The sequence below is a fragment of the Homo sapiens genome, chromosome 5, assembly GCF_000001405.40.
Source record: "Homo sapiens chromosome 5, GRCh38.p14 Primary Assembly".
NCBI lineage: Eukaryota > Metazoa > Chordata > Mammalia > Primates > Hominidae > Homo > Homo sapiens.
The window spans coordinates 156,949,471-156,963,656 of NC_000005.10; the positions used below are offsets into that span (position 1 = coordinate 156,949,471).

The 14,186-nt window shown below is 42.9% G+C and overlaps 1 protein-coding gene across 4 annotated transcripts in view; it reads right to left on the minus strand.

Annotated features, from left to right (window-relative positions):
* Positions 1–13,756, minus strand: part of TIMD4 (T cell immunoglobulin and mucin domain containing 4) — a 43,935-nt gene extending 30,179 nt beyond the window's left edge. For 3 of the 4 annotated variants that reach the window (NM_001146726.2, NM_138379.3, XM_011534694.3), the window contains exons 1-4: positions 13,671–13,756; positions 4,945–5,286; positions 2,042–2,320; positions 181–261 (exon numbers count right to left, since the gene is read on the minus strand). In NM_001146726.2, coding sequence (NP_001140198.1) covers positions 181–261; positions 2,042–2,320; positions 4,945–5,286; positions 13,671–13,728 — 760 coding nt within the window. In that variant the 5' untranslated portion in view covers positions 13,729–13,756. The remainder of the gene's footprint in view (positions 1–180; positions 262–2,041; positions 2,321–4,944; positions 5,287–13,670) is intronic. The other variant, XM_017010021.2, reaches the window with a different exon arrangement.
* Positions 13,757–14,186: the final 430 nt, after the last annotated feature.

The window sequence follows — 14,186 nt, forward strand, 5'->3', positions numbered from 1 at the left end:
TCAGCCACAAGAAGGAACAAACTACAAAGGCTGCCTTGAGGCCAATTTGCCACAGGGGGATTTTATGGCACAAAAGACCCAAAGAGGTTGTCAGTCATCTGATTCAGCAAGACTTTTAGTAATTTCCTTCTCCTCAGTACAAAGGGTGAGGGAGGACAGAGAGAGTGAGTGTCTGCACACCTTTGGATGTCAGCAGGACAGTGTCAGCAGAAGTAGACTCAACACTACTCCAGGAATCACTGGGGAGGACAGTTTCTGATTCTGGAAGAGAAAAAAGTTGGATAAAAGGCAGCTGAAAAGTAGTTATTGTGTTTGTGGTGGGTGGTGGGATTTGGGATTATCTTTTTTTAATTAATTAATTTTTTGAAACAGAGTCTTGCTCTATCACCCAGGCTGGAGTGCAGTGGCACAATCTCTGCTCACTTCTGTCTCCACCTCCCAGATTCAAGAGATTCTCCTGCCTCAGCCTCCCGAGCAGCTGGGATTACAGGTACCCGCCACCATGCCTGGCTAATTTTGTATTTTTAGTAAGAGATGGGGTTTCACCATGTTGGCTGGGATGGTCTCAAACCCCTGACCTTAAGTGATCCACCTGCTTTGGTCTCCCAAAGTGCTGAGGTTACAGGCATGAGCCACCACACCTGGCCACTTTTTTTTTCTAATTTATCTAATTCTTTAAAAGACAGAGTCTCACTATGTTGTCCAGGCTGGAACTGACTTCTTGGGCTCAAGGGATCCTCCTGCGTCAACCTCTGAAGTAGCTGGGATTACAGGCTCACATCACCATGTTCCAGGGTATTTTTATGGCTGTCTTTGTGCTTCTTTATATATTTCAAGTTTTCTTCAAGGATTGCAAGTAATTTTTAGAATCAAGGAATAGAAACTACAAATGTTGTGTTTTATGGTAGTTATTTATTTTAAAACCCAAAGGAATAAAAAAATACATACAAGAATTGATTGGTTTAGGGTTCATGGATTTTAGGTACTATTCAGAGTATAATAGAATTAGCCAATTCAATTTTGTAAAGCTATTGGAATTTTCCAAGACTTATTGAGGCAGCTGAAATATCTAAGAAAGCCTTCAAGCTATCTCATGATTGCTTTCCCAATTCTTACTGCAGAATCAGAGTCTGACATAGAGTGACAGCCTTGACAAGCCCCCCTAAGCAATGGAGCAAGTCACTCAGTGAGAGGTACAAGTTGCAGGGTCAAGAATTCCAGGGGAAAAAAAAGAAACAAAGAAAAGAAACAAGGCTAGAACTAGTTCACCATCAGGGGATATTTTAAAGGCGTCTGGAGGTCTTTCCTCAACCAATCTCTAATGCTCAGGCAGCGACTTAACCCCTGAAAGAATGGAACTGGAGTCTGACCAGGAGTGACCTTTCCTGGTTCTTCAATAAACATCTCTTGCAAGACTCCTTAGAGGTCAATTGGAGAACCCAAAATGCTGACTTTTCAAAAACACTAAGGAAAAGGCAGAAGAAAAGAGAAACCATAAAAAAAGAAAAGGAACAATTTGGTGAAAACACCTCCTCGTACACACACACACACACACACACACCCATGCCTACTGTGAAGGAATAAATTGTGTCCCCTCAAAATTCATATGTTGAAGTGCTAACCCTCAGTACCTTGGATGCAAATGTATATTGAGATAGCGCCTTTAAAGAGATAGTTAAGGTAAAATGAGGTCATATCAATGGACCCTAATCCAATACAACTGGTATTCTTACAAGAGATTAGGACATGGAAGGACAGGCAGAGGGAAGACAGCCACCTGCAAGCCAAGGAGAGAGGACTTAGAAGAAACCAACCCTGCTGACACCTTGACCCAGGACTTGTAGAACCCAGAGCAGTGCGAAAATAAATTTCTGTTGTTTAAGCTACCCAGTCTGCGGTGTTTGTTTGATAGGCCTAGCAGACTAATATACGCATGTGTACACGCACACACTCACACACACACTGAGAGAGAGCAAGTCACTGGGCTGCCTCATTCAGTGAGACAGCACTGTTCTAAGAAACCCAAGATACATCTGCGTACCTGCAGTGAGGATGGGCCCTTCCTTAGAAGGCTCGGGAGTCAGAAGACCTGTGGCTTCCTCCGGAAGGGTGCTTGGGGTTAGTGAAAGGCACGTGTTTGCTGTTGTGAAGACGGCAATGGTTGTCATCTGGAGTGGTGTTCCGGTTGTGAGATCGGGTGTGGTCACGACTGTTGTTGGAAGTGCAGCTGGGGTTGTTGTCATTTGTCGGGTGGTGGTGGGGCTTGTTGTTGTTGTTCTGCGTGTGGTGGTGGTTGCTGTTCTGTGCGTGGTTGTTGAGGCTGTAACCAACAACAGACATGTTTGGCACCAAGCGGAGATGGAGGAAAAAGAAAATAATGCAAGTATATCTGGGACCCATCCATTTCTGTTGTCCTCACCTGGTCCACTGGCCTGGACGATTGTAATGCCCAATAAAATTGTGTTTCCTGCCCCCACCCTGACATGTTCCTTCCAATCTATTCTTCACACATTGGCTACATAATCATTTAAAATGTTGGCCAGGTGCAGTGGTTCACACCTGTAATCCCAGCACTTTGGGAGGCCGAGGCGGGTGGATCATTTGAGGTCAGGAGTTTGAGACCAGCCTGGTCAACATGGTGAAACCCTGCCTCTACTAAAAATACAAAAATTAGCTGGGCCTGGTGGTGTGTGCCTGTAATCCTAGCTACTCAGGAGGCTGAGGCAGGAGAATCACTTCAACCTGGGAGGCAGAGGTTGCAGTGAGCTGAGATAGTGCCACTGCATTCCAGCCTGGGCAACAGAGTAAGACTCCATCTCAAAAAAAAAAAAAAAAGTCAAATATAATTATGTCCATCCCCTGCCTAAATCTTTTACTGGGTCCTCCTTGCCCTTAAGATAAAGAACCCAGTCCTGCACCTTGGCCTGCAAGCTACAAGCCTCCATTTGACCCCATCTTGCCTTTCTTTCCAATCTCATATCTCCACCCGCCCCCGCTATCACTTTTTCCCACCCAACTGGCATTTATTTAGCTCTTTGAATATATCAGCAACCTTCCCGCTGCACGAACCTTTGTACCTGCTGCTTCCTATTCTCATTCTTCATGAGGCTGACTTCTACTTCACTCTCATGTCTCAGCTAAAGGTTACTTCTGCAAGGAGGCCATGTAGATTCTCCAATAATGATTAGGCTTTATTATATGCTCTCATAGTTTACCTCCACAGCCTTTATTGCATTTCATAACTGCACATTTATTTCATTGCTATTGTTTAAAGCCTGTTTATCCCGTTAAACTTTAAGCACCATGAGGGAAAATCTGACATTTATTTTGTTCTATGCTACAAATCCAATAACTATCACAGTGTCTTGCATATAGTAGGTGCTCCAAAAACATTGCATGAATACATAAATCAGTGCATCAAAAGTGAGCTCAAAGTATGCAACCTAGAGTGAGAATGTGGTCTCTTTCAGACAGTAAAGATTGGTTCATACCAACACCACTCACCTCCTACATATCTGATTTGAGCTTCATTAGCTACCGTTTATTCGACAGATCTCATCCTCCCTAGAATATGCCAAATTTCCATTGACTCTAATGGACCAGAAAGACACCATTTGTTCCAAGTGAACTTCGAAATGACCTCATAATATATAAAGGTCAAGTATTTTATAAAATAATAGCTGGTTATACCCAACTTGAAAAGAGAAGACTTGAGTGGGAGTCATCTAACTTCAATAAACCTCATTTCTCTCTTCTGCAAAATTGGAATAGCTTTTATCTCAGAATGTTGCCTTAAGAGAAAGACATACTAATATGTATGTAAGTTCTTAAATTAGAAGCATTTACATCAGTTGGCCTCAAATTTTAGAGTGCGTTAGAGTCACCTGAAAACTTGAGAATATAGGCCGGGTGTGGTGGCTCATGCTTGTAATCCCAGCACTTTGGGAGGCCGAGGTGGGTGGATCACTTAAGGTCAGGAGTTCAAGACCAGCCTGGCCAACATGGTGAAATCTCATCTCTACTAAAAATACAAAATTAGCTGGGTGTGGTGCCAGGCACCTGTAATCCCAGCTACTCAGGAGGCTGAGGCAGGAGAATCGCTTGAACCGGGAAGTAGAGGTTGCAGTGAGATGAAATTGTGCCACTGTACTCCAGCCTGGGCAACAAGAGCAAAACTCTGTCCAAAAAAAAAAAAAAAAAAAAAAGAGAGAGAGAGAGAATATAGATGTCTAGATTCCTGTCTTCCAAAGTGCCCATCCAGTTAGGAATAGAGCCCAAGGATCCTCCAGGTGACACTGATGCAGGTGGAATACAGAGCTCATTTTGGGAAGCTCTATACTGGACAAGCCCTAAAGGTAATTATTGTTAGCATTATTCAACCATACGCTCAATGCAGCTCAAATTTTTGAAGTCCCACCATATCCCAGATTTCATCAAAAGCAACTGATAGTAACAGAAGAAAAAGCTCCTGAAAACTGCTATGACTGTGTCCAAATCTCATGCCCTTTCTCCCCTGCCAGAAGTGGCAAACTGTTGGTTTACTGGTTGAAGGTGACCCCTGAATACATTTTATTTAGTTCATGCAGTTTTTTTATTATTTTGAAATCTGGCAACATGTAAAAAATCAACAGAGTTCACATAAAACTTGATAGGTCTGAAAACACTGGACCCAAATATCTGCAAGGTGGTAATCCCCTAGATACGTAGCAGCTGCCTTTTCAGATTGACCCTGCAATTCACGAGTTCCCTTTCCACCTTCCACTCATTTCTGTGGCTGCTTTTGTATTTACTTGCCTACTTCAAACCACGGCACTTTATTTCAAATTCAATCTTCCCACTCACTGTGAAAGCAACTCTAACCTCTTCACCACCATCCACTGATCCCATTGTCCATTAACCACTGAATCTCTCCTTCCGCAGGCATGAGGCCCTTCGTGTGCTTACCTCTCTGTAGATTCAGGCGCACGTTTATCTTTACATCGTTGAACCAGCCAGGCACTTCTATGCGGCAGCAGTACACACCGCTGTCACTTTCACTGGGGTTTAAGATGGTCAAGGAGACATCACCTCTCGGGATAGTCCCCTGAAGTCTATATTTTGCTGACTTTCTTGAGGTCACCCTCATTCCATCAGTGCGGATGAGCGCCTCCTTGCAACCGGAGTAGGGGCACTGGTCTTTCCCCCAGCACATGCTGTTGCTGTTGTGAGACCAGGATGAGTACAGACAGGGCAAAGTCACCCGGTGACCCAAAACCTCCGTCACAACAGTCTCTGAAGTGACTGGTGCTGCAAGGAAAAATGCGAAATTTAGGTCATGCAGTACTGAAATCTCTCAAACATGCTACACAGTTTTTGTGCTAATAGATGCTTCCAGGAAGATGAAGAAAGCTGTAGTCTATGTTTCTTTTCTTTCCTTTTTTTTTTTGATACAGGGTCTTGCTTTGTCACCCAGGCTGGAGTGCAGTGGTACAATCATGGCTCACTACAGCCTCAACCTCCCAGACTCAATCCATCCTCCCACCTCAGCCTTCTGAGTAGCTGGGACCACAGGTGCGTGGCAGCATTCCCAGCTAATTTTTGTGTTGCTTTTGTACAGACAGGGTTTCCCATGTTGCCAGGCTTATGTGGTTCTTTAGCGTAAGTTTTGATGTGCCTTGCTTACTCCTGTGCTCCTAACTCCACATGATTCTATCCCCTAAGTGGAACCAGGTGACCAGTTGAGTCTCTAACCGTGGCAAGACCTTTTTGCTGATTTAAATACTCTGATTTGAGTTCCATTCGCTAACCAATAAACTCTTACATGAAAAATCCTGACCTTGAAACCCAATTTCACTTATTCATATAATCAGGTGGGCTGTTTTCCACAAATAGATATTGTGGACTACAGACTTAAAAGCTTCAAATGGCTGGGCATGGTGGCTCACGCCTGTAATCCCAGTACTTTGGGAGGCCGAGGCAGGCGGATCACAAGGTCAGGAGATCGAGACCATCCTGGCTAACACAGTGAAACCCCGTCTCTACTAAAAATACAAAAAATTAGCCGGGCGTGGTGGCAGGCGCCTATGGTCCCAGCTACTCAGGAGGCTGAGGCAGGAGAATGGCATGTACCAGGGAGGCAGAGCTTGCAGTGAGCCGAGATCATGCCACTGCACTCCAGCCTGGGCAACAAAGTGAGACTCCATCTCAAAAAAAAAAAAGCTTCAAATGGGTCTCCCAATCCAGAGAGTGCTATGAGAGAAAGATAGGCTGTAAAACTGTATTCCATTTCCTTCTCTCCTTTCAGTGGAAATTACTAGAATTGGAAATTACTTAGACTATTTGTTTGCTGTTAGATAATATGAAGTTAGGTGGAGTTCATGGACTATCTATTTATTTTTAATGGACAAATAATAATTGTATATATTTATAGGATACAATGTGATGTTCTGATATACATATACATCGTAGAAAGATTCAATCAAGCTAATTAACATATCCATCGCCTTACCAACTTAACAAACTTTTGTGGCAAGAACATTAAAAATCTATTAGCAATTTTGAAATATACAACACATGATTAATTACTGTGGTCACCATGCAGTGCAATAGATCAGTACAACTTAGTCCTTCAGTCTAACTGAAACTTTGTACCTTTTAATCAACATCTCCCCTTTCACTATCCCACCCACTCACCCACCCCCCAGCCTCTGGTAACCACCTTTATACTGTTTCTATGGGATTAACTTTTTTAGATTCTGCATATAAGTGAGATCTTCTATTTGTCTTTCTATGCCTCGCTTATTTCACTTTGCAGCATGTATTTTTTGTTAACGTTAGAGCTAGAAGGAACCACAGGAATTATCTAAAATGGCAGCTGTGCCATAAAAAAAAAATGCTGGAGGGTAAGGTTTACTGCATCAGCTACTTGAGATGGAATGTTTCTCCCTTTCTAAAATGAAGCATGAGTGTGTTTTAACCACTTCTCCTCATTAGCATGACCTAGGGAGCTTGTTAAAAATACATAGTTCATTGCCCAAACCTGAGCCTGAATCCCTAAGGCCAAGGCCAGTGCATATGTACTTGAATCAAGTTCTCCAGGCCACTTTGATGTAGTTGACTACCCATCCAGTGTTTGAGAACCACTAGACAAGCTCCTCTAAGATTCCTTTCATCTCTGACAATCTGCAAAACATTTTCACTGTTAAAAATGTTAAGCCCATTGGTTTAATTGTGCATCAGAGATTATTCTAAACCATTTCCTTCCCCAAAAATGCTATTGAAGTGAAAGCCAGGCAGGCTGTAGATCTCAGATTGTTGAGACCACACCCTGCTCCCCCTTGGGTACCCAGGTCCATGCTTGTTGTTTTCTCTTAGGCACCCTCCTGTGAGATTCTCCATTCACTAACTTTGCTTATTTAGTTGGCTAAGTTATAGAAGGCATGGCCAGCAGTGCTGTGCTCCTCCTTGACTCAGCTGGCAGTAACATCCAGGCATTCCTCTCTCTAGGAGAAGGTGGACATGAGCCCTAAGAGTCACCCATATGGTAAGCAAGACTATGTGCTTCTGGGGTTTTTCACAGTTGGCTTTTTTTTTTTTTTTAAAGACAGTCTCATTCTGTCGCCTAGGCTGAAGCACAGTGGCGCGATCTCAGCTCACTGCAACCTCTGGTTGTTCTTATGATAAAAGATGATTCCCAATTTGGACCAGCCTGCAGCCTTCCCCGAATTTAGTCTCTTCACTTTGCCAAGTGGAAATGTTTCCCAGATTATAAATGAAGTGGGAGGCTGGGCACAGTGGCTTATGCCTGTAATCCCAGCACTTTAGGAGGCAGAGGCTGGCAGATCACCTGAGGTCAGGAGTTCAAGACCAGCCTGGCCAACATGGTAAAACCCCATATCTACAAAAATACAAAAATTAGCTGGGCATGATGGTGGGTGCCTGTAATCCCAGCTACTTGGGAGGCTGAGGCAGGAGAATCGCTGGAACCCAGGAGGCGGAGGTTGCAGTGAGGCGAGATTGTGCCATTGCACTCCAGCCTGGGTGACAGAGCGAGAGTCTATCTCAAAAAAAAAAAAGAAAAAAGAAAAAGAAAAAAGTCAATGCAGTGGGAAGTCCATTTTGCCTCCCATGAATCCAGGAGAAAAATAAGAAGTTTATTGTCATCACCCTCAGCTATGTTAACAACATAGAACACATGCACCTAAAATTAATAACTACTAAAATATGAACTTAGCCAAGTGTGGTGGCACATGCCTACAGTCCCAGCTACTCAGGAGGCTGAGGCAGGAGGATGGCTTGAACCCAGGAGTTTGAGGCTGCAGTGAGCTATGATCATATCACTGGACTCCAGCCTGGGCAACAAAGCAAGACTGCCTCAAATTCAAGAAAGAAAAAAGAAAAAATAGATGATCTTGTTCCTATGAATATTTGGTAAATTAATAAAACATGTACAAGAAGTATTCCACTGGAGAGTCAACATTTTATTTTCCCAAGTACTTTTGCATAAAAGGAGGCATCCTAATTGCTAAATAAGAAAAGATCTGGCCGGGCGCGGTGGCTCACACCTGTAATCCCAGCACTTTGGGAGGCGGAGGCAGGCAGATCATGAAGTTAGGAGTTCGAGACCAGCCTGGCCAACATAGTGAAAGCCCGTATCTACTAAAAATACAAAAATCAGCTGGGCGTGGTTGTGGGCGCCTGTAATCCCAGCTACTTGGGAGGCTGAGGCAGGAGAATCGTTTGAACCCGGGAGGCAGAGGTTGCAGTTAGCCAAGATCACACCATTGCACTCCAGCCTCGGCAGGGTGAGGGAGGACAGGGCAAGACTCTGTGAAAGAAAGAGAGAAAGAAAGAAAGAAGGAAAGGAAAGGAAAGGAAAGGAAAGGAAAGGAAAGGAAAGGAAAGGAAAGGAAAGGAAAGGAAAGGAAAGGAAAGGAAAGGATCCAATAGAGAAACTAGCAGAGGACATAATAGACAATTCGTAGATAAGGAAATAGGAGCAGCCAATAAATTTTACCCATTAGACTGGGAAAAGCTTAGAACACTGATAATATTGAGTAATGGCCAAGGTGTGAGTAAACAGGACTCCAAGACACTTGTGGGAAGGGACTTAGGAAATGACTTAGCCTCCTGAGATAAACCAGAGTGAAATGGGGATATGAATTGTTATAGCCACACTGTGAGGAAATTTGGCAGTTTCTATTAAGTATTCACTACCCAAGAGTCCTAGTATGCCTTAGCAATTTCACGTTTGTTATCCACCCTAGAAAAACACAAGTTGACAAAGATGCCTATTTGCAAATGTTTATTGCAGCCTCCATGTATATGTGAATGAAATGGACAATGTATATATGGGGAATGGCTAAACTGGTGCATATTTATTCCATGGAATTCTATGTAGATTGATAGCATTAGAGATAGATCTGAGTGAATTGACAGGAAGACTCCAAGCCATTTAATGATGAAAAGGGCAAATTTCAAAACAAGACATAAAATATAAAACCCTTCTTGTAAAATAAATAAATAAAACAATTTCCTTTGTTTTTGTGGGCTCAGACTTTTGAAAGTAAATGCACAGAAAAGTGTCTAGTGGGATAGACACCAAACTCATTGTGTCAGTTACCCCCAGGATCAGAGAAAAGGGATTGGAATTGGGGATAGCAGTCCAAAGGGCATTTGGCTTTATAACATTTTAATTTTTTCACCAGGAGTGTTTCGTGTCACTCATCTTATTAAAAATTAATATAAGAAAAGGAAGCAGGTGCTGAGTATGGCAGGAACAACATCCATTAAGCTCACATTGTAAACCCCATTCTGCCATTTACTGCTTTTGTGTTGTTGGAGGAAAGCCATGATAATCCTGACCTCATTATCATCACAAGGCAAAGGGGATAATACTCACCTCAGAAATGGTTCTGAGCTCCACTTGAAGAGGAGTAACAAATGCCACGTGAAATTAACAAAGTATTAATACGCGTAACAAAGGACATTAGAATTTAGAAATAAGACAAAAAAAAATGGTTCCTGTCTGTTGTAAAAGTATCCCTGAGTAAAGCAATTGTTGGTATCAAACCAGTTTCACTTCTGTGGAGCTACCTGGAATGGTGGATACAACCTAGGTCCTTATGCCAGCTTGGTTCCTTCCATAGCTGGTGAGCTTAAGCAAGGCTGGCCCTTCCCCAATCTGAGTCTCAAAATTGCCATCTACAGAGTGAAGGGCATCTTTTAAGAGTACATCCAGCTCTGATCCTTGGTGATTCTGAGCAGTCACTCTCTTTTAATTTGGTTATCTTAGAAAAGGCACATATAGGCCGGGTGTGGTGGCTCACACCTGTAATCCCAGCACTTTGGGAGGCTGATACAGGTGGATCACCTGAGGTCAGGAGTTCAAGACCAGCCTGGCCAAATATGGTGAAACCCTGTCTCTACTAAAAAATACAAAAAATTAGCCAGCTGTGGTGGCGGGCGCCTGCAATCTCAGCTACTTGGGAGGCTGGGGCAGGAGAATTGCTTGAGCCTGGGAGGCAGAAGTTGCAGTGAGCCGAGATTGCACCATTGCACTCCAGCCTGGGCATTGGAGTGAGACTCTGTCTCGAAAAAACCCAAAAATATTTTGAAAAACAAAAGAAAAAAGAAAAGGCACCTATGAAAAAAAAAACAAAATAAAACAAAAAACAGCTCACCAGGTGCTGCCTCCTTCAAGCAGGATTAGAAAATTCCCCTCAACCAGTGTCTTGCTAGTAGCAGGACATGTAGACATAGACCCCTGCAACTTTCAACCTAACAAAACCTTCCAAACTTCAAGTTTCCAGGATAAGACAAAGACAGTAAAAAAAAATTGATGAAAAGGCAGATGGTAGCTTTCTTACATCCAAACAAACCCATACCAAACCCAAAATATAAGTGTGAAAGTGACAGGGACTGCTTTCATTCTGTAGATTGTTTTTTTCTTCCCCCTTTTTTTTTTTTTTTTTTTCAGAAAGAGTCTCACTCTGTCACCCAGGCTGGAGTGCAGTGGTGCAATCTCGGCTCACTGCAACCTCTGCCTCTCTAGTTCAAGCGATTCTCCTGCCTCAGCCTCCTGAGTAGCTGGGATTACAGGCACATGTCACCACGCCTGGCTAATTTTTATATTTTTAGTAGAGACGGGGTTTCACCATGTTGGCCAGGCTGGTCACAAATTCCTGACCTCGGGTGATCCACCAACCTCGGCCTCCCAAAATGCCAGGATTATAGGCATGAGCCACCACCCCTGGCCTGTAGATTGTTTCTTCAGTGCCTATAATGTATCAAGGGTGGAACTAGGTGCTGGAATATAACAAGCCACAAAGCAGACCTGGGCTGCCCTCATGGGGCCTGCAGAGTACCTAGGAAGATAGTCAAATGAGTGAGCATTTGCTATAGAGTGACAAGTTTACAGATGCAGGAACTCCAAGGAGGATGCGAACTCATAGCAGAAACACCTGAACTATTCCAGAGGCTACAAGGTAGCCAGGAAAAGCCTGAATTAAGTAGGGACCTGAGGATGCATGGCACTACGGAGGAAAGAAAGGCAGAGAGAATAGTACAAGTTTGAGAGGTGATGAAACACATTTGTTTTCCTTCAAATATGGGTGTTTTCTCATGCACCATGTTGGAAAGGTTTCTGCACATACAAAGAGCCAAGAGGTAGAAGAAAAAATGTTTAACATTGCTAATCACTGGGGAAATGCAAATCCAAACCACAATGAGGTATCACTTCATTTCTGATAAAATGGCTACTATCAAAAAGACAAAAAGCAAGCATTGCTGGCGAGGACGCAAAGAAAGAGGAACTCTCGTACGCTGTTGGTGGGAATGTAAATTACTACAGCCATTATGGGAAACAGTATGGTGATTCCTTAAAAAACTAAAAATAGAATTACCATATGATCCAACAATCCCACTACTGGGGATATATCCCAAAGAAAGGAAATCAATTAAAGAGATATTTACTCTCCCATGTTTATTACAGCACTATGCACGATAGCCAAGATATAGAAGCAACCTACGTGTCCATCAATGGATGAATGGATAAAGAAAATGTGGTATATGGCCAGGTGCGGTGACTCACGCCTATAAGCCCAGCACTTTGGGAGGCCGAGGTGAGTGGATCGCCTGAGGTCAGGAGTTCAAGACCAGCCTGACCAATATGGTGAAACCCCGTCTCTACTAAAAATACAAAAATTAGCCAGGCATGGTGGCAGGCGCCCATAGTCCCAGCTACTTGGGAGGCTGAGGCAGGAGAATGGCGTGGACCCAGGAGGCAGAGCTTGCAGTGAGCCGAGATAGAGATAGTGCCACTGCAGTCCGGCCTAGGCAAAAGAGCGAGACTCCGTCTCAAAAAAAAAAAAAAAAAAAAAAAAAAAAGAAAGAAAAAAAAAAAGAAAATGTGGTATATAAACACAGTAGAATATTCAGCCATAAAAAAAGAATGAAACTCAGTCATTTGCAACAACATGGATGGAAACAGAGTTTATTAATATTGTGTTAAGTTAAGCTAGGCACAGAAAGACAAATATTGCATGTTCCCACTCATACATGAGAGCTAAAAAAGTTGATCTCATGAAAGTGGAGAATAGAATGATAGTCACTGGAGTCTACAAAGGATAGGGGAAAAGGGGTATGAAGAAAGGCAGGTTAATGGGTACAAAAATACAGTTAGTTAGAACATGAGGAAAAAGGGAAAAAATACAATTAAATAGAAGGAATAAGTCCTAGTGTTTGATAGCATAGTGGGGTGCCTATTGTTATTAATAATTTCTTGTGTATTTCAAAATAACTAGAAGAGAACATTTGAAATGTTCTCAGCACAAAGAAATTTAAATGTTTCAAGAAATGAATATCCCAACTACCCTGATTCGATCATTGTACATTGTATGTATATATCAAAATAACACATATGTAGCCCATAAATATGTATAGTTATTTTGTATCCATTTAAAAAAAAAATGGACTTTTGTAAAACTGCAAGGGCCATTCAATATTATCTTGTCCTAGAAGCACAGATTGTGACAACTGGTCATTTAAAAAGCCAGGTCTCTCATTTCAAATATGGGAGAGCCAGAGCAATTTAGACATATTCCCAGTGTCAACAGTTAGTGCCCGAGACGCAGCTGCAGCTCAGGCCAGAACACTTGGCTCTATACCACCAGGATGCAAAGAACTTCACTGGCCAAAACTGAGTGTGTACACTTGCATCATCCAAAACCCAAAAACAACGTGCAGAAAAGAAACCTTACATAAAGCCTCACCCCAGCAAAACAAAACAAAAAGCAAACACTTCTAAAAACAGAGGGAATGATAAGAATTATCACAATTCTCACCAGAACAAATTCTCCTGGCTTATTGATTATATGAATAACACCCATAGAGGAAATCTCTTTTCCCCAATTTATCTGACCACTTATTTCTGTGTCTCTTCTTCAGTTGCTGTTTCCAATATAAGCCCAAATTACCCCAGCCTAAAACCCCCAGACCAGTCTCTGGATAAACCTCTGTGTAACAAGGCAGGACAGAGACCCTCCACAGAAGGAAGCCTGGTAGGGAGAGGGGAGGGATGCAGAAATGAAGTGAGCTTCTGCTTCACTGAGGCCCAAACCAGTGCATGGAAATCCATCACACAATAGCAAGTCCTCTGGAAACTTCTACATAGAAGGTTTCAGAACACTTACTCAGGTAAAGCCACCAAAACTCAATCATCAGCCAGAGAATGAGAGGTTCTTTGGACATTTTGACGGTTGACCGGACCCAGGAGTCTGTCTATCTATCCAAAGCCCAACCTCTTATATCCCAGTTAATGCTGACAGGGTGGGACTCTTTAGTTTCATTTCTCTTTTTGCCTCATAATCTTCCCTTTCTCCTGTCCTACATGGCTTCCCCCAATGGGCGATGCATGATGAAATGTGCTGAGCCCTTTTCTCCTGGTGACTAGTGTGTGTGTGGAGGGATGGCGTGGACATACTTGTGCTTCTTTGTCCATGTGTATAGTGGGTTTCCTATATGTGCACAAGCATCCATGCATGTGCTGGTGCAAATATGCCTGTATAACCTGTGCATGTGCCACAGTTGTCCCAACTGCTGTACAGCCTGTCACAAAGTGCAATTGACTCTCCATACTGGCAAGTGTTTACATGTAGATTCCTCATGGGGCCAAAGCATAGTTAGACTGAAAGTTGCCTCCATTCCCA